General features: G+C 39.4%; 1 protein-coding gene across 5 annotated transcripts in view; it reads right to left on the bottom strand.

Annotated features, from left to right (window-relative positions):
* The window catches only part of MYO16 (myosin XVI), a 712,290-nt gene that overhangs the window by 558,755 nt on the left and 131,679 nt on the right, over window positions 1–21,856 (bottom strand). For 2 of the 5 annotated variants that reach the window (NM_001198950.3, XM_047430182.1), the window contains exon 1: window positions 19,379–19,640. The exons of the other annotated variants lie outside the window; for them this stretch is intronic. In NM_001198950.3, coding sequence (NP_001185879.1) covers window positions 19,379–19,406 — 28 coding nt within the window. In that variant the 5' untranslated portion in view covers window positions 19,407–19,640. Of the gene's footprint in view, window positions 1–19,378; window positions 19,641–21,856 lie in introns of those variants that run through there. 5 annotated transcript variants of the gene reach the window in all.

The following is a 21,856-nucleotide window of genomic DNA, read 5'->3' as shown; positions in this document are numbered from 1 at the left end:
GATAAATGGACACTGGAATTTTTTTTATTATACTTTAAGTTTTAGGGGACATGTGCACAACGTGCAGGTTAGTTACATACGTATCCATGCGCCATATTGGTGTGCTGCACCCATTAACTCATCATTTAACATTAGGTATAGCTCCTAATGCTATCCCTCCCCCCTCCCCCCATCCCACAACAGGCCCTGGTGTGTGATGTTCCCCTTCCTGGGACACTGGAATATTTTTTTAATGCCCTCTCTGTTGTTTAAATATCAGCCCATGAGGATATCATGGCTGTCAATGTCAATCTCTTCTGAGACAGAAAAAGAGAGAGAAAGAGATGCAGAGAGAGAGAGAGAGAGAGAATTAGAATGGAAAATATCAGTCAAATCCCCTGACCCCTGATCCAGCAATACATGAAGCCACTGGCATTCAGATTTTCTGAGTATAAGGGCCATTTTCCAAATATAAAAGCCAATACATTCCCTTTTGTATTTAAACCATTATGAGTTGATTTCTGCCAGTGGCAACCAAGTGACTCGTGTAATATAAAAATCCATAAAGATCGATTTCTTTGTGCCAAAGGACATATGTCTTTGGCATAACTAGTTCTGCCCTCTTTTGAATGTATAGCTTATTTCAACAAGTAGGACAAGAGTTTATATTTTGTATTATATAGAATATTTATTATATATTATTTATTTTTAAATAATACATTTTCTGATATCAGAAAGCTTCATATTTTGTGTTCAGTATGTGCTGTGCTTATAATGAGAACAACAATTCCCTTCAGTCAGTCAATTCTTCATAAACAAGGAATTCATTGAATGTCCTCTCTGCACTTGGCTGTGAACTAAGACATAAAAAGGTAGAAGATAAAATCCCTGGTCATGAAGACATAGCCATGGGGTTGAGTGTGCACACATGTAAGAAAGAGTTGAGAGGCAGTGAAAATCAGTATTCAGTGCTTCTCCTCCTGGGATATGGAGACACCACTGACCATGCCCAGGGAATATTAAAGCCAGAGAAGGACCAGGGAGCATATTACTGGATCATGTAAGTTAAGTTTGACCATCTTTGTCCCATTATGGCCCATTGAGCCCAATTCTTGCACTGTACTCTTTTTAATATCTGAATGTATCTGAAAAGTTGATGTAAAGCAGTTGGCTCACCACATAATTATGCTCTTATGATGAAAGGGAGACTTTAATCAGTATTCTTCCTTTCCCTCTGCCCTATAGACCATAAACTTCATGAATACAGGGGCCATCTCTGTTTTGGTTACAGTTGCATTTACAGAGCATATCAAGGGTCCTGTCATGTTAAAGGAACTCATTCATTCATTCATCTGCTAATGTATCCAATCATTCATTCATCTGCTAATGTATTCAATCATTCAAATCTATTATTTGGAATTTGCTATATGCAAAGCTTTGTATTTAGACATTTGATGGTTACAAGTTTAATAAGTTACTTTGCATTGATACTGTTTACCAAGTAGGATAAAGAAGATAGTCACTGAAATATACCTATATCTAAAAAAGAGGAATGGACAAAGTGCTAAGTTAACTCATACATAAAGAGAATTTAGTACTTAGAGATTCTGTGCCTTTTGATCTGAAATTTAATCACAGCTAAAAATTTTAAATTCAAAGATGAGAAAAAATTTCTCAATTTTAAGTTGAGAAAAAAATGGAAAAAAGGCAGAAGTTATAGGATAATTTCAAGCACTTATCAGTTTGGCAGAAGCAAAGATACATAAGGGTGAAAAGTTGAAAATAAAGCTAAAACAAGAATTGGAATCTCCACATTTCTGAGAGAGTAAAAATAGTTTCATCATTTTCAGTTCTGCCACAGGAACCATTAAAGATTTGCAAACAGCATTACAAAAAAATAGTGGAGTCCATCAAAAATCTGGAGGCTTCTAGAGCAGCTCATAGAGAGACATGGTAGGGAGCATCTTCCCGAAGCATATGCACTAATTCTGGGTGAAAGTTAGGAGAGTCTGAGTTCGAACAAAAAAAATGCAATGCCGGGGTAAATGATAGGGATTATGAAGAGAAAGAACCTTTGAGAGATGGTGAATTGCCCTACTGGGTGACAAGGGAGAAAGTGGAGTCAGAAGGTAGAGAAAGAAAAGTCTCTGAACTTTCAAACTGCAGTGACAAGAATAAAGGTAAAACCATCAATCACAAGGGAAAATGCCATGGATTTAGAAGAGGGGCAAATATATGCATGCATATGACTGTGATACAAATGTATCAATTATCAATTCATATGTATCAGAGTACATATATATAGTGTTCGCTGACAATGCTTCAAGTAGGAAATGTCCATCAAGCAACTGGAATAGTTTACAGATATTAGCTGCATACAGTTTCTTTAAACTAGCTGTAAGTTTATATACACAAGCAGAAGTTTCATCCTATTATATATTTTAAAGCTGTAAAAATGAGAAAATATTGCAATATGTGATTTTCAAAGGGGTGCATTTAATTATTTCTAAATAATGTCAAAATTACCAATATTGTCTCTTTTTGACAGATTAGTCACAGAATACTTTCATAGCACAATGGCCTAAATATACCTATATCTAAAGGAGAGGACTAGATATAGTGCTCAGTTCACTCAGATGGAAGGAGAATTTAGTGCTTGGAGAAGGTCAAGTTAGATTTCATGCCTTTTGATCTGAAATTTGATAAAGGCTAAAATTTTGAAATTCAAAGATGAAGGCTTAATGCCAATTTACAAATTCTACAGAATGACATAAATTGCTTAATCATGAGTTGAAGAGAGACACGAGGAATTCCCTTAATGCATAACAGATTTTTTTCCATAACTTTGATTACTACCCTTTAATACAACAATTTCATAGCTGAGTTTGAATTGAGTCAACTAAAATATTTTTCTGAATATATTAATAAAATGGGGTTATGTGGTTCATCTGTGTGCCTCTAAAATCTTTGGTCATGTGTTAAAAATTAATTGAAGAACACAGAAAGAAAAGCATGCTAAAAACTACATCATGGATGATATAATCCAGATACATTAAGAAAATTTTAACAAGGGAAAAAAAGAAAATCAAACTAACAAACAAGAAAAGCCCTCCTTTTTCTTACTTTCCTTTCATGGGAGCTACCACTTTCTCCTCATGCAGACATGTGATCACAAACTAAGGAACCAGGAAAAATGTAGTGCCCCAGAGGACAGGGGTCACCTACAGTCAGCCTGAAACTTGGGCAGGGCTGAGGCAGGGCTGGGAGTAAGTGCATACCTTGTAAGCACTTCTAAGAGGGTTTCCCACCTGGCTCTTGAGTCCCCACCTTCCTGCACCCTGGGGCAGGACTACTTATGCTCTGTTCAGTCTGAGCTGGGAAACTTGGAGGTACTGATTCCGCTTCCTCTGTGGATCCAGCGTCAAGTCTTTGGCATAGGGAAAGGTGGAGAATGTACAAGGTAGATGTGGAAGATAAAACAGGTGGGATAGGCAGTGTTGGGTGGTAATGCCACCTGAGGCCATTATGCATTCCTTTCAGACACTCATAGCCTCCTCCTGATCTATCACCCTCCATGTAATTCCAGTCAACATTGATCCATCATCTTCTGCAACTCAGTATGTTTCCTCAGCAAAGTCACAGCTGGTAAGGGGAAAACCACTGGCGATCTTTTCCCCAGAATCCTTGTAGATGAACGAGACCATACTCCTTATTTTGTGGGAGGTGGAAGGAGGTTGGTGGAAGGAGGTTGGTGGAAGGAGATCGGGGCACAGAGTAGGCAAGTTTGAGTTCTCTGAATGTTAGGAATCACATTGAGAGCCTTTTTAAAGCTACAGGAGACAGCGTACATACCAAACTTACAAGGTGTAGAGGTCATTTTCGACACTGCAAACTATCGTAGACACTGGGGAATCAAGAAAAGAACTGCTGAAACATGACTTCATTAAAGAACATTTATGACCGTCTTTTATGTGTACTGATTACTATTGATGACTCAATCTCTTTTACCAAATACTATTGTAAGTAGCATGAAAATGTGTCAGATCTTATCAATGTAAGTTTGGTTTTAACTCCAAACCAGCTTTATTATATGATCAGTCTTGGCCTGATGTTCCAGACCTAGCTTAGATCTGGTCCAAAGTAAGCCCTCATCATGAGTAAGGAAGACTCAGGAGACCTGTCATGGCCACTGCCTCTTGTCTTGTCCCCACCCCTGATGTCTCTGCTACTGTTTCCTGGGGGTGCAGGGATAAGGCACAGAACTGCTAGAAACCAGCCCAAAACAACACTCTGCAACTTCTAAATTTTCATAAAACCAGTAAAGAATGCTGCTGGTATTATCCTACTTATACTCTTGGAATAAAATTGCCACTATTAACTTCATCAAACACTCTTAACCAAACATCCTAAAAATATTTTCAGACTATACTCCAGACTATATTTTTAAACCAGTGTCTTCTGGCCTGTTCATGGGTGTGAGGGTTGAACACAGATTTGTCTTTCTATGGCCTTCATTGACACTACCGAAAGCTAATTATTTAAATATACTTTTGAAATGTCATTTATGCTTGAATCAATGATGAAGATAAGGGAATGTTAGATAAGAAAATGAGAAAAAAAAAGATGTTAAATGCTATGCATTTTAGAGACTGTTAATTAAAATTTGGAGCTTGAGTTCATTAAGAATTTCTTCTTTACAAAGCAGTTTGAAATGTAAACAGACTATGGGTCTTCCATTAAAAAACACCATTGCTACTAATTATTTAAAGAGCAAATCTTTCCCATTGTGTTAACAGAGTTAAAGAGGATTAAGGTTTATTATTTCAGCTCATGGGTTGCAGTAATTTAAACAGATGATAGATAGATAGATAGATAGATAGATAGATAGATAGATAGATAGATAGATAGACAGACAGACAGATAGATGGTAGAATAAATGCTCCAACCATTTTAGACCAGGTACCTGGAAAGGGAGTGGAGTGGTGGGAGTGTAAGAACCCTGGAAATCAGAAACTGGAAGACATCAAAAGTGACACTGTGGGAGCATCCCTGGGCTGACACTGCTAGACCACATAGCCATGGAAACCAGAAGCCTATTATGTAAGCAGAATGAGCTCAGGAATTTCTCCCCGTCTCAGAGCTGAGGATCCGAAACTCAAGAGCCAGGTAAAGAAAGAGGAACCCCAGGCTGGACCCAGGAAACTGGGCCCAGGACATAATGGACACAGTGGAAGGAGAAAGCCCAGAAATATTCTGTGTTGAACTTGCCCAGTTGAGATTTTTTGAAAGTAGAATGGTTTACCTAATATTTCCCATCCCATGGCTTAATAATTAAATCACAATGGTTTGAGTACAGCACTTTTATGATTTCTGCTAGTGAAATCCTCCATGGCAGGCCAAGAATTTCAGTGTCTCAAGATACAAGGGAAATCCCAGTCCTAAGTATTTAAGTGTTTACCTGAGGCAAATAAAACCACGCGCCCATGCAAAACAAACAAACTTGTCTTTGAATATTTATAAAGGCTCTACTCATAATAGCCCCAAACTGGAAACAAATAAATGCCCACAAACTAGTGAATGGGGTGCACACACTGTGATATATCCATCAAAGAGAATCCTACTCAACAATAAAAATGAATAAACCTGTGATATATGCATCAACATGGATGATTGCCAGATGCATCATGCTGAAGAATGAAAGCCAATCTTTTTAAACAACTAAACACACTTGCCATACCCAGCAATTGCACTCTTGAACATTTACTAAAGGAAATGAAAACTTACATCCACACAAGAACCAGTACAGGATTCTTCATAGTAACTTTACTTGTAATAGACAAAAGCTACAATCAACCGGAATGTCTTTCAATAGGTGAATAGTTCAACAAACCATGGCGCATCCACACCACCGAACACCACTCAGTAATTAAAAGGAAGAAGCATTGGTAGACAACAACTTGGCTGGATCTCAAGGGCATGATGTTGAATTTTAAAAGCCAATCTCAGAAGATCACATATTGTACAACTTCATTTACATGACATTCTGGAAAAGGCAAAGCTATAAAAACAGAAATCAGATCTGTGATTGACAGAGGCTAGTGATTATGGAAGGAGATTGACTATAAAGGACACAAGGGAACTCTTTGGAGTGAGAAAAATATTCTATATGTTCATTGTGGGTCCCTTACATGGTGGGTCCCTCATTTGTCAAATTTTTTTTTAACTATACACCTAAAAATAAGTTCTGTATGTAAATTATACCTCCATAAACCTGACTTAACAAAATAGACCAAAACAATAATGGAAGAGTTACATCTAGAACCAGACTTTCAGAAAGTTAAGAGGCAAAGTGTTGAAATAAATCTACAAAATACTGAGGGGATTCAGTTATGTGCTGTCATAATGAACATTTTTAATAAGACAAAATTTGGGGGGGTAGGATTAGTAAATAAAACTAATTATTTTTTAAATGATAGAAAAGAAGTCTTGTGAACAGATGCCAGCCTCTGTCACTTACTATAAATCAGAGGGGTCAGATAAAAGAAACACCCAAAGGCCGGGCACGGTGGCTCACACCTGTAATCCCAGCACTTTGGGAGGCCTAGGCGAGCAGATCACCTGAGGTCAGGAGTTTGAGACCAGCCTGGCCAACATGGTGAAACCCTGTCTCTACTAAAAATACAAAAATTAGCTGGGCGTGGTGGTGCATGCCTGTAGTCTCAGCTACTCGGGAGGCTGAGGCATGACAATCGCTTGAACCAAGGTCACGCCACTCCACTCCAGTCTGGGTGACAGAGCGAGACTTCATCTCCAAAAACAAACAAACAAAAACACCCAAAGTTACCAACGTGTCTGATTAAAGTGGGGAAGAGCATAGTAACTCCATTCCTGCCCTAGTCTCTCAATCTGCATGGTGCATCACACATTTCCAAGAGCTTTCACATGTTGTTACTAGACTGCAGACTGGGGTTCAGTCAAAAAATACGTCCTTTCACGTCCACAGTCTCATGCCACGGGCAGTGCCTGTACCTGCACTGTCTCCTGCAGTGGCTCAGTAAGAGCTGATTGTATAGTTGGGTGACTGCAAAATGGATAAAGGAAAGAATAACGGTAAGGAGAAGTTATTAATAAATTGATTGACTTTCACAGCTACCTAGGAAATGAATTGGGATGGTATCATTGGCCTCATTTTTCAAATGAGGAAATTAAGTACCAAGCCCTAGAAGAGTTAAGTGATGATAAAAATTGCAAAGTAGCTAAGAGACCCTAGGATTGACCCTGTGGTCCCATAAGTAGCAGTGGAGTCTCCCCTAATGATCATGGAGGGATGTGCTGCCTCCCTGTCCAACCTACATGACTGTGTTTGTTATCACAGCTCACACTGGCCAAGTATGCCAGGCCATGATTTACTGAATTTCACTTGAACTGATTTTGTGGGTACATCACAGGTGATGTGCTTTAGGTATCACTGTGAGATGAAAGGGAAATTAAGACTTGTTTAGGATTCCCTAAGAATGGAAAAGGTGAAGCAAAATGTTGCCCTGCATAAATTCAGCTCATGAGTGCTGTGTGGAAGGGGTTCAATCTCAACTCGGTTCTCCAAAGATAAACCTAATAAGTAAAGTTGTTCAGAGTAGAGAATAATGAACTAGACATGTAGGAAATAATTTAACCTTTGAATGGCATTTTTCCCCCAATAATACTTTGCAGCAATGACTTTAATATAGTTAAAATAGGAGGCAGCAGGAGGAATGTCTTTCCTTAATCTTATATTTGTTGCTGGCCCACTTCAACGACTCTCTTCCTCTTTTTCTACTAACAACTTGAATGAAGGAGAATGGCCAATTGATTTCCACAAAAGCATTCGTTAATTTGTGCCTGCCTTTCCTGTCACTTCTCATTTCTAGATAATCAATAACTCAAGTCTCTTTCATCTTTCCTTATTCAGAAGACCCTGAAGCTATTTGCCTTTAGTTATCCTTCTCTCAACCCCTTTCTATTAGCAAAAGACTGTGTTAAGCTGAACTAACCAAAATGGTAGAGTAGTTAGAATGCAGCATTGATTCACACAAGGTTGTCTCAAATTTCCGTTTGCATTCTTATCTTGTTTTAAAGTATCGAGAAGCGTCCAATAAGCTTTTGCAACCACAAATATATGTGGAGATGACATATTGACTGAAATTTCAACAGTGACCTCTTGAGCATTTTCTGAATGCACAAGTCAATTTGAAACTCCAGTTTAAGAATTATTTCAATGGACTCCACAGTATGAAGCTTTCTCCTTAGAAAGCAAAGCATCACTGAACTGTGGTTTGGAACAGGTTTTCATAGTACTGCCAAGAAGGCTCATTTTGACAGAACAGTCACTCTTAAACCATGATGTTGTGTGTTCTATTCTAGCATTAATTTATGAAAATTAGTGAAAAACAAAGTTTCCTTTATGTCAAACCTCAACCAAACCTGTCTTGTTGCTCTTATGGTTGTCGTTACCGTTATCCCAGTTTCTCAAACCATTGTAGGATGCCAAAAGTTTTAAAAACAAAACCCAGGCCCAACACATGGCCTTTGATGATTTTTGGTTCACTCTGTAAATACAGGACAAATTGTTGAGGGCTTTGGACCACCGGCAGAGGGTGAATGTGAAAGGATAGATGGGTTTCACTTTCCAAAGATGAGGAAGAAGATGCACATATCAGCACATGTGACCTACTTTTGCTGCAGTAAATTTAACACTGCTCATGTGTTTCCTCTCCAAAAAAATGAAGCATTTTGGAGTGGCACAACCTCCTCCACCAACTGCCCTGTGTGTATTTTTCCTTTTAGTAGCCAAAGCTCATATGTGTTCTGTACTCTTCATTCCCTTCCAATTGCAGCTCAAGTCATTGCAAGAACTCCTCCCTCCTCTCCCCTGGCCCTGCTCTACGTCTACATCACTAATGGCCTCCTCATCGATTACTCCAGAGGATGCTGGTCCTGCCTGCACTGTGATCTTCTCACTTCATGCCAGCCTGCTTAGCAGACACTGCCTCTTGAAACAGTGTTACCCGAGCTGTTGATTGAAGACATCTTAACTCCTTTGCAAACCACTCATCCTTTATCTGCCCTTCTAAAATTTCTGACCTGAGCCATCTGTTTCCTTGTCACCTATTTCCTTTCCTCCTGTGGCTTAAATGAAACCAGTATGCTAACAACTCCCATGCCTATTTCAAATAGGCATCTCTCACCTGAGCTGCAGCTGTGTGTCTATGGCTACATACTGGACAGCTCTTCTTGCATACCGTGGGACTTGGCATGCCCAAGCCTGCTCTTCCCATCTGAAACTTAGTAACACCATACACATAGCTGTTCACACACAAACCTAAGTGCCTTGAATATTCCATTTATCGTATACTCCACAATGCCGAAGTCGTCCCAAGGCCTTAAGGTCCTGGTACTGAAGTCTTTTTCAAATTCATCCAGTTTTCTCCATGCTCAGGTCAATCACCAACACAAACTCTTCACCCATGTGGGTCATCCTAAGAGCCACCTACCTGGCCTCCCAGACTGTGCCACTGCTCCCTCCCATTTGTTCTCTATAGTCAATCTTTCTAACACAAATCTTTACTTTCCACTTTTAGGAATTCCTAAGAATTCCATCTTAGTGGATTCCAGTTGCTTTCAGAAAAAGTCCTTAGAAAATTCTAAACCTGACCTATGGCTCCTATGTCATTCAGGGTTGAGACATTCAGGTTTAGGAAGGAAGAGCATAGATTCAGTCTGGACAGTGCAGGTTTGAAGTGCTGATAAGATACAGGGTCTGCTTGGGTTTGAATAGCGCAAATCAGGAGATCCCAATGAAGGGCACAGCCTGGTAGATTTTCCTGGAACCCAGCCACAGAGATGTTGGAGATGAAATAATTACCCTACGTAGGATATGCATGTTTTTAAAAGAGCAAAGCAACACAGAATTTTTCACTAATCAGACAATAAATTCTGTTAATTCCACCTTATAAATACCTCTCTAGTCAGACCACGCCTCCCCTTCCCTGTCCCCACCCTCCTGATTTAAGCTGTCACCTGGGCTATTTCAAGGCTTCTCCCATTTTCAGTCTCTCCTTTAATCCACACTCTACAGTACCATCAGAATGACAGATCTAAAATGCAAAGCTGATCACATCACTCGCTCTTGAAAATCATTCAAGGAACTCCCTCCCTTGCATAATGAGTAACACAGAAACACATCAGACTTGTCCAACTACTGCACATTGTTCTTCTTTCTCCATCTCTTTGCTTTGAACGCACTACGCAGTCACAACATGGTGCTTTGTGCAGGCCTTCTTCCCTCCCTGGGCTCCTCATCCATTGATCTTCAGTAAATGCCTCCTCATCCTGAAATGCCTTCTGCCTACTCTGATGAGCTTGCCCCAGCTCCGCACACACCTTCCTCATGGAACAACTGGGTGCCTTTCCCTGTCTTGTCTCATAATACTGACTTACAGATGGAAATTGAAAATTCGTTATTCATTTTCAATTTTTCCTCGATTGTGAATTTCTTGTAGAAAAAAATTCTATTTATACATATAAACTGAGTGCATAGCAGAATGTCTGGCGTGAGTGAATGATTAAAAAACTTAAAATATGGGCATAGGTGGGAAAAGTGAGAGGGGCAGAAACAAGTCAGTGTTACAAGGACAATTATTTTCAGAAAAGCAAGCAGCGAGAGGTTAAGAAGTTAGAGGTGGTCACTGAGTGAAAATGTGCAAATAATTTGAGATAAACTGGAACCAAAAAGAGAGTTTGATGTTTCAGTACAGTAACAGTGTGGGAGATGAAATGCTATATTTGAGTGGAAAGGTATTTGAGGAGCATGAAGCAATGAATTTTTTAAAAAGTTTGGAAGTAAAGGTAAGTGGAGCCCAGGGCTATTAGCTTGAGTAAGTAACTCCGAAATAAAAAGTAGTATTGACCTATTAGTTTGGGAGGAATTAACAAAAAGTGAAACAAAAAACCTAACTTTTGACAGCCTAGATTCTCTGGCTTAACAATGTGGAACATGCTCATTCCTGCCTCAGGGTCTTCGAACTTGCTGTTCCCTCTGTGTGGCACACTGTTCCCACAGGTCTTCACGTTGCTGACTCACTCACTCCTTTCAGTAACTTAGAGACCACTTCTTGAGAGTGATTTTCCCTTAACAACCTATTTAAAATTACCCCTCAAGTCCACTCTGCTTCCAGGTCACTCAGTAGTTCGTTAAACACCTTTATTTTTCTCACATTAGTTGATGCCATCAAAAGTTCTTATAACATCTCTTTACTTACTTACTCTGTCTCACACACTGGTATGGTGATTTCAAGAGAGTAGGAATGTTAGCTTGCTTGTTCGTCTTTGTATCTTTATTTTTAATTAATTAATTAATTAATTAATCTATTTATTTGTGTTGCCCAGGCTCGAGTGCAATGGTGTGATCTCAGCTCACTGCCACATTTACCTCCTGGGTTCAAGCGATTCTCCTGCCTCAGCCTCCCAAGTGGCTGGGATTACAGGCATGTGCCACAACCTCCAGCTAATTTATATATTTTTGGTAGAGATGGGGTTTTGCCATGTTGGTCAGGCTGGTCTCAAACTCCTGGCCTCAAGTGATCTGCCCGCCTTGGCCTCCCAAAGTGCTGGGATTACAAGCGTGAGCCACTGTGCCCAGCCATCTTTATATCTTTAGCCCTTAGATTACTCCTTGAAAAGGACCAGGAGTTAAATAATATTTCTTGAAGTCATGAATAATAAATACATGAATTAAATACTGAATAAATGAATAAAATAAAAGGAAACTAAAATTGACTTAATCTATCCAGGTCTATCAGTTAAGTTACTGTGGCATGTTTATATCTTTAATGTGATACTGAGTCTGGGCCAACCATTGAAAGCATAAGGAATCCTTTCCCATCCACCAAACAACCTAAAAGGAAGGGTACCCAAGTAGAACAACAGATGCCAAGTAAGGATGTTAGTGTGAAACCCTCCAGATATAATGGCAAGCCTTAAATAATGCAACGTCAACACGGAGCAAAACACAAAGATATATCATTAGGTCATCAGTACACCAGCAGCCCATGATGTTCTTGGAAGTCTGTATAAAAGTCAAATGTATAAAGGCTGAACAAGAGACATATACTATAAGTTTACGATTTTATATATCATATGTGTGTATATATGCATACATATATAGAGAGGGAGGCATAGAACAGATCTGGATATGGACACAGATATGGATATCTGAGGTTAAAGATTTCCCTTAGCAGCATATTTGATGATTTCTATCTTTCTCTTAATTGCATTATGTTTACACATCCTAGACTTCACACTAGTATGAGGACATCATTTATTTGAACACTATTATAAAATAGTGTGGGTAAAAGTAATATAAGATTCCTATAATTAGAGATACAGTGTCATAAAGATTAGTCTCAGTTTGAAGTCATCACACTATGTATTGAAACTAATTTATTTAGTAGAATATAGGTACTATAAAGCTCTAGATCTTATTATAATACATTTTTAAATTTGAAACGCTGGGTGCATTTGTAAAAACAAAACAAAACAAAAATAAAAACAACTTGGGGCCAGGCACAGTGGCTCACGCCTGTAATCCCAGCACTTTGGGAGGCCAAGGCGGGCAGATCAAGAGGTCAAGAGATCGAGACCATCCTGGCCAATATGGTGAAACCCTGTCTCTACTAAAAATACAAAAATTAGCTCGGTGTTGTGGTATGCACTTGTAGTCCCAGCTACTTGGGAGGCTGAGGCAGGAGAATTGCTCGAACCTGGGCGGTGGAGGTTGCAGTGAGCTGAGATTGTGCCACTGCATTCCAGCCTGGCGACAGAGCAAGACACACACACACACACACACACACACACACACACACACAAAAAAAAAAAAAAAAAAAAAAAAGGGAAATATTTTTTCATTTAAGACTAGTTGAAATTATTTTAATATTGAAGAGAAAAGTAAATATTTGAGAATATCTAAGACTGTCATGAACACTAATCAGGAGAGATTTACCTTATCATATCTCAAAAGTTATCAAAAGCTAAGATAATGAATACAGTGTAACCTTAAACTAAATCAATGGATCAATGTAACAAAAACATAAACCAGAAATGGATGCAAATATATTTAGAAATTTAGAATGCGACAAAAGCAAATTTCAATTCAGTAGGTATTGTGCATGCAGAAATGAAACAGGGAAAGAAGTAACTCTTACCTTAAATCACACACACACACCTTAATTCCACATGAATTAAAATTTCAAATACAAAAATGAAAGTTTAGATTAAGATGTAGAAAACTAATTTAGCTTTAGAATAAATAGGCTACCCAAAGCAATAAATGAAACCAAAAATCCATAGAACAGAGACATATTTTTCTACACAATTAGTAAAAAATCAGATGCCATCCAACACCCAAAACAAAGGCAAAAGTCAAAAACAGGAAAACTGGCTGGGCACGGTGGCTCATACCTGTAATCCCAGCACTTTGGGAGGCTGAGGCGGGTGGATCCCCTGAGGTCAGAAGTTCGAGACCAGCCTGACCAACATGGTGAAAACCCATCTCTACTAAAAATAAAAAATTAGCCGAGTGTGGTGGCACGCACCCGTAGTCCCAGCTACTTGGGAGGCTGAGGCAGGAGAATCACTTGAACCAGGGAGGCAGAGGTTGCAGTGAGCCAAGATCATGCCACTGCACTCCAGCCTGGGTGACAGAGTGAGACTCCCTCAAAAAAAAAAAAATAAATAGGTAAACCATCTACACCACATTCATATCAAGAGAAACATTAATATTTCCTTACATAAAGGTTTACATGAAATTGATAAGTAAAAGGATTAAAAACCCAGTGTAAATAATGAAAACACATATGAAGAAATTTGACTAGTTAAAAGTGGTGGAACACCCTTAACTATTTATTATATAAAATGGAGAGCCCCACAGGAAACCATATTTCGACGATGGAGTTGACATCCTTTTGGGAGGAAGGCACGTTTCCGGGTTGGCTGAGGTGCAGTGATGCGAGTCCTTTGATTGCTGGTTGTGGTAATCTGAAGTGCTACTCCTCACTGAAAGAAATCTAGCAGTTTCTACAAAACCTTAAACTACACATACCATTTGATTCAATGTTACTGCTCTTGTGAATCAATATTCCTATAAGCCAAAATACTTAAACAGAATGTCTTAATGCCTGTCAAAAAAGAAGAGTTTAATAAATAGATGGTTTAATAAATGCTATAGACTATTACACTACTTAGCTATCAAGAAACAATGCCTAGATATATAATTTGCCAGAAAAGATGTCCATGTTGTTAAGAGACAGAAGGGAGGGCTGCCTAAGGGGACATCTGGGCTAAAGGTTCATATGTGGGAAAATATAGATGATGCTTAAAGCCATGAGAATGGATGAGGTTGTCAAAAGAAAGTTAGGGCCACGCCCGAAGAAGAAGAGAAAGCCAGCAACTGGGGTGGAGGAAAAGCTGCTAGTGAATTAGGAGAAAACCCCCAAGAGCTGCAGAAGAAGACGTGGTAATCACATCAGAAATTAAGGAACATGAGGCAGGTCTAGTGTCCATTGGATTTTGCCACATAAAGGTGGTTTAAGTAAAGTGGATTCCACTGAGTGGTAAAGGAAAGCAGCGGGATGCAGTCATGGAAGAGGAGACAAGGAGGTGAGGGTCGAAGGCCACGGGCATGGGCAATCGTTTCAAGGTATGACCTGCAAACAAGGAAATGGGGTGGTGGCCCGAGGGAAGAGAGAACAAGGGGGGACTTTTGCTTAATTGGAAGATGGATGGATTGGCCACATATTCACTCTGTTGGAAGCTGATGCAGGAGAGAAAGGGGAGAGCTGAAGGGAAATGCAAGCTTGCAGGAGGCAGAAGGAGACAGAATTGCAAGCGCACTGGCCTTGGACACACAGGAGGAAATTCAGGACTGCAGGTGAGAAGTGGGCAAAGAGGAATACATGCGCAGACACTCTGCAGATTTAATGGTGGGAGGGTAGGTTTGTAACTCCTCAGCCTGGGAGATTGGAGTTAGAAGAAGGGGTCTCTAGGCATGAGCAGTCGTGCCTACCGTAGAAACAAGACGAGGGTACAGGAGAGTGCTGCCTGCCTGGGTGAGATGTTTGATCATGATGTTAAATGAAATCAGTCTGCTTTTGCTCTGATGTCCTCCTTCAAGGGTCATCCAGCTCCTCTGGGGCAAGGACAGACATGCTGGAAAGGGGGGTTCCACCTTGGGTAGGTATTCGTCACTCGAGTGGAACAGAGGGAGGTGAGGGCAAGGAGTGAAGTGGCTTCAGCAATGGACTATGGGCGCTGGACCAGGCGGAGAGCAGGATATGGGAGAGTGAGGACATGGAGGGAGCAGCTTCTGGGTGTGTTAGTGCATTGCAGAAACACTGCAGTGAAAGTTCTTGAATGAGCGAACAGTGTGTGCGATAGCTAGAAAAGTGAGGAAAGCATTTTACTGGAGGTGGTGTTCATCAGCATGAGTGGCTTGAGGAAAAAAATGGGTTTTAACCTTGGTATCATAAAACATGTTTAATATGTGTGATCATTAATACTCAGTGTCAACTTGGTTGGATTGAAGGATGCAAAGTATTGTTCCTGGGTGTGTCTGCAAGGGTGATGTCAAAGGAGATTAACATTCAAGTCAGTGGACTGGGAGAGGCAGACCCACCCTCGATCTGGATGGACACCATCTGATCAGCTGCCAGTGCAGCTAGGATAAAAGCAGGCAGAGGAACATGGAAGAACCAGGCTGGCTGAGTCTTCCAGCCTACATCTTTCTCTCATGCTGGATGCTTCCTGCCCTTGAACATCAGACTCCAAGTTCTTCCGCTTTTGGACTCTTGGACCTTTGACCACAGACTAAAGGCTGCACTGTCAGCTTTCCTACTTTTGATATTTTGGGACTCTGACTGGCTTCCTTGCTCCTTAGCTTGCAGATGGCCTATTGTGGGACCTCACCTTGTGATTGTGTGAGTTAATTCTCCTTAATAAACTCCCCTTTATATATACATCTATCTTATTAGTTCTGCCCCTCAAGAAAGCCCTGACTAATACAACATATAAAGTAACAGATTTTCTGATACAATTCGTTCTTAGGTGTTGTAAATGAATTCTCAGCTCTGGAGAATATTCATTTTAAATAACTTTAACCTTCCTCCTGCTGCAAACAATGCTGCCCCAAACCCGTATGCTTAGAGAAGAGCTGAACCAGGAGAGAAATAGGTCAGGTGTAGTTATTGCAATGCTTCACCCCCAGAGGCACGTGAAGGGAACTCCACAGGTAGACCTCAAGCCTCCGCTTCAGTTCATTAAAACAAAAGTAGTTTCAAGTCTCACATGGCCTTAAAGTTCTGTGAGCCCATGACTCCCTTGAGTTCCATTTCTCATTTCTGCTTGCGCCTCAGCTGGGGCCTGGTCATGTTCATGTGTTACCTCTCAACAGGCATGGGGCTCTGAGACTGGCTCTCACTGCAGATCTGTCTAAAGCTACTTCTCAGCTACCAAGATACATGAAATGGCCACACTTTTTGCTGTGGTGTTCCTACACTTTCCTGCTATATCCTGCTTCCACAGTAAATTTTTACACTCTAGTTTTTAACCCTTCTCTAAAATAAAGTAAAAATGTTTTACAAAGTAACAGATATTATCATAAACTGGAGATAACAACTGTTAGATTAAGTTTCGACCTTGAAGCGTATAATTTTTTCACCTTAGATGATGAGTATTTTCCCAGGTGACTAACAGTTCCTTGCGAGCATTAGCTATTGGTCACCCAGCATCCCACCTGAAGGCTTCCTGTGATTCACTAGGAGCACATGGGATGCTAATGTTGCACATTTCAGAAGGTCCTGCTCCTGCCCTGGAATTCATCCACTTCCTGCATTGCTGTCTGGCTTGAAAGTGAACGTGCTATGGTGATAAATCTGGCTCAGAATGAAAGACAGATATGTGGTAGAAATGCAGGACAGGCGAAGAAGGAATGGAGTGTGACGAAGGCCGATGAACCTCGCCAGCAGATCAGCCCAATATGGGAGACAACAATTTGGGAAAATCTTACGCATCAGGAACAACCATTAAACCATGAATTATGATCCTTATCAATAAACCCTTAGGATACCATGAGGGCATTCACTCTTTTTTTTTTTTTTTTTTTTTGAGTTGGGGTTTTGCTCTTGTCACCCAGGCTGGAGTGCAATGGCGCGATCTCAGCTCACCGCAAGCTCCGCCTCCCGGGTTCAAGCAATTCTCCTGCCTCAACCTCCCAAGTAGCTGGGATTACAGGCTCCCACCACCACACCCAGCAAAATTTTGTATTTTTAGTAGAGACAGGGTTTCACTATGTTGGCCAGACTGGTCTTAAACTCCTGACCTCAGGTGATCCGCCTGCTTTGGCCTCCCAATGTTCTGGGATTACAAGCGTGAGCCATCACGCCCGGCCTTCTTCTATATTTTGTTCATCCTTCCAAGATATAGCTCAAGATGCATTTTTTTCATAAAACACCCTTCACTAGTTCAGCACAGAATGCAGTATAATTTCTGAACTCCTTAACACATCGCACCATTTCTCCAGTAAAGTTAGCATTTCATAATATTCATGCTTCCTTTCCATTTTATAGACTGTCACACTCAAAGCTTAGAAAGCAGTCAGATCTTTAGTAAGTAGTTGCTAATTACTTTCAGAAATGCATCAGGAATGTTTAAATTCATTAATTTTAGATTTCATCTCTTATACTAGCATGCTAAAAGAAATATCTCACAGGCTCCAATTGACATCACCAATTTTCTGAAATGTCTACAATTTTCCGAAATTCTACAATCAAATAATTCAACTAAAACAGAACAAAAGGCAGGAAAGGGCAGACTCATATTGTGTTTGGTGACCAACTGCTCCCTGAATCTCTCACGTCCATGTCACTGTCCCTTTGTGCTTCCACCCATGCTCCATGGCTGCCCTCCACCAGGTGTGTTCAATGTGTCTAATGAGCATCCAGGTTCCTTGTAGGAAAGATGCAGAGTTTTTCCTCTGCAGAGGCACAGCAAGGAAAATAATGACATTCTGCTAGTGCAGTAAAACACGAGAGGCAATACAAAAACCAGTCAGAGTATTGCCCTGTGTCTATTTCTCCAAGAAAATAACCCCAAGAGTTAACAGATTAAAGCAGAAGACTATTCTCAAAATTCTTAAATACGCTGCATGCCTCTAATTCTTATTAGTTAAAGAGCTAATCTGCAAACTTACGAGATGACCAGTGAATCCTTTTGGGAATTGAAATTGTTCTGCAACATGAAAGCATGACATTCTTGGCAATGCTTAAGAGTAAGGCATTTTTATTTCCATTAATCATAGTTTTAATTCCTGTATACATTCTCTACCAAAAATAAGAGAAAGGTAAATATTTTCACCTTCTCAATCATCATTATTTTTTTAGTCTCCTTTAGTGCAAAGCTCAAGATTCATTCAACACATGTGTTCCCTTAATATGCTGCTTCAATTTAACATTGTGATGTCCTTTGGCAGCAAAACCTTAAGCTTAAAAGAAAACCATTTTCTGCAAATGTCATCTGTCACTTTAAGATCATGATATATATGTACAGAAGTTTTCAGAAGTGCTGCAGGGGACAAAAATGTATATCCAGCAAGCCATTTTTGGATAAATATGTCTTCCTCTTCATTATTACCATCCAGAATTGGTTTAGATGGAAGTATTCTCTAGCTCAGAAAATTCTGCCAAAATTTCAGACGCTAAAGAAACCCTTGATAAGCCCAAAAGAGAACCTGGTGACAAACTAAATTTCACCATATGAACATCAGTGGAGAGCATTTGGTACAGAGTCCCTGGAGTCCCTAAGCACCGCAAGGTGAATGATACAAGGACAAAAGTTTACAGTCAAGGATAACCCTAAAGATCACACTTACAAAAAGCATTGAATAGAGGCTTAAGCAGTAAAACTTGAGACTAAAATACTAGCTAAATGACCTCAGCCATATATTAATAAACTTAGTTTTTATGTACTTTATTAACATGTGCCAATGAGCAAAAATATGCTTTTGTAATTTCTTTCCATGTGTTTCTGGTGTTTTTTTTTTTTTCTGGTTGCTGTGTCTATGAATCATTTTTTTTAAAAAGCTGAAGTTTTAAAGATCTCTGTGCTATTAGCATTTGGATCACACTGGAATTATTTCACAATCTAAAATTAAAAGGAAATATATCCAGCCTGTAAAATATTCTTCTAAGTCACCAGTCTATGTCACTCATCTGAATGTGGTATACCAGGAGAACTGCCTTAATTTTGGCATCTGCACAAAATAATACTTCAACAAGACAAATAACCACATGAGCAAGATATCAAGCTTACTTACAGCACTTGATAAAATGATAGTGAGACATCTTTCCATCTCAGACAGGAATCTTGCTACGGGTTCCAGCATTCTCTTCTGTCACAACTGTCGTTCCCAGGAAATGCATTACTTAAAGCCCTTACTCAGGTAACAGTTTACCTCAGGATGCACTATTGCATGGAGGCTCTGTTCCATGATCCTGCAAAAAGCTTCAAACTCATTCTCATTCGGCAGCTGGAGTTAAGATAAGCCTCTCCCCGGTGGGTCTTGAGGCACCACTGGTGCACGTGCTATTGTAGCACCCTTGATTGACACAGCCCCGAGTACCACAATCCCGGGAATAGTCAGCTCTAATTGGTGTTCACATGCAGCCACATTCTGCTGCACGGAGGTGTGCTGCAGTGCGGCTCTCCCGGTCCTGCCTGTTAATGGCTTTTCAATAGCTTTCAAATGGCAGCAAACTAAGCTGATGAGTGGGCTGGAGAGAAGCCACGGATAGAAGGATCCTAAATCTTCTTCGTGCACACTGTCCATCAGCCACATATGACCAGATTCTTAGCTGGTAGTAAAGCGGATTATTTTTAGTTGCCACCAGTTGCTGTGTGTGAATAGGAAATTGATAGCAGGAGCTTAAAATAGCCACCTCTTAGAATCAGAGATCTTTGATCTGTCCTTAGTAATGAAAAACTTGCATTATATTTCAAAACACATCTTTCTGCTTTTCTGAGCAGAATGTAAAACTTAAATTATCCACAAAAAGCTTTTGGTTTGCATAGCTTTAAAATTTAGGATTCTCCTACCTCTGCAGACTGCAATGAATTTAACTGTACAACCCAACTGGATGAAGTAAATCTGACTGAATTGGAATCAGAAAGAAATATATGGTCTGCTAGGGTTTATTGTTATAAAAGTGAATATCATACTCATAATGAAATAGCCATGGTAGCAAACCAAAAGGTTATATTTTAAGTTGTTTACAAATTCAAAGTGATACATTTTTTTTGCAAATTGATACATTTTTATGATGATCTTCTCCAAAGACAAGTTGACATAGTCTAGAATTTATGTTTCAGGTTTGAGGTTATAGGAAAGGTAAACATGAACAATATGTTAAGTGCACCCATCCTTCTGTGGCAGTAACATAATTTTGTATTCCTTACTGAACAAAACTCAAAGAGCAGTGCTTTTATTAAACTAGAAGATTATGAAATTCAAATCTATACAACAAGGGGTCATGACTATTACATTTTCACTGAATAATATTCTAACACATTTTAGTAGCGTGATGTAAAATAATAAGTTGAAGATTTCGCACAGAACAGCCTGATGTCAAATCCAGCTTCTACCACTTACCAGAGTATCAATGTAAACACATTATTTAACCTGCTAAAGCCTCAGTTTCCTCATCTATGCATGTGAAATATAATTCCTAATCTTTATTCTGAAGGTTAGAAATAATGCACATAAAATTTCTGGTTTCTGTTGTTGGTGTTCATTGAAAAGTTGTCATTAACATTAACAAGGAAAAAAACTTATGTATGTACCAAATGATGATTATGGACGCTTTAACTTGGCTTTTCCAAAAATTAGAATGAGGATTTGCAGCCTTCATCAGGAATGCTGATTCCTCATTTATTCGTTGATTCCACAATTAATTATTGAGAGTCACTGTCACAAAAGTCACCATTTTGGGTGCTTTTCAGGAATAAAATATGTCTAAAACAGAGCCTTTATATACCAGGAATCTATAATGTATTTTTAAAGGGTTTCTTGGATGTTTTGTAATGTTTCAATAAAACTGTAAGACACAACTATATCTGTTTCCAACACGGGAAGTAAAGCTCTCTCCTCTTTAAATCAATACAAATCTTTACATGTGCATAAAATAACTGTGAATTTATGTGAATGTTATCTAATGTATCTTCGGGTAAGGTTGTATCCATGTAGATGTCCCTACCCCCTTCTCTTAATACAATGCCGGATAAATAGTATGTTGCCTATATACCTTCCTTAAATGTCTGAATGTCTTAATTTTCTGCAAATTGCATGCCTCTGCATGTATACAAACTCAGCAAACATCTTAAGACAATTGAGTTTAATGATACCATTCACTCTTTAAACTGAAAAAAAGCATAACACTCAGAGGGGCATGTTGTGCACTTGACAAAGAAAATATGTTATTAAAAATATAATTGATTTGAGCCCTACTTTTTTCAATAACTTAAGGCATTTCTTATAAGAACTTTAACCAAGGTACCCCGTGAGAATTAACATCTCATCTCCAGGGGCTCATTATCAAATGTGTTTATTTTTCATCGACTCATGTATTCCATAAACATTTGGCAACTCTTTGTGCTATAAGAGAAACTTGACTCCCTGACCTCAAAGTGCTTATCGTCAGATGAAATAGAGACAATCAAGATAGCACAGTGTTGTGTGCTAGAAACTGTAAGACTACAAATGTAGACCTCTAAAACAACAAGAGCCAACATCTAATCC

This window comes from Homo sapiens, chromosome 13 (genome assembly GCF_000001405.40).
Source record: "Homo sapiens chromosome 13, GRCh38.p14 Primary Assembly".
Classification (NCBI taxonomy): Eukaryota; Metazoa; Chordata; class Mammalia; order Primates; family Hominidae; genus Homo; species Homo sapiens.
The sequence above is the reverse complement of the archived record's forward strand: the minus strand, read 5'-3'. Positions and strand labels throughout refer to the sequence as shown.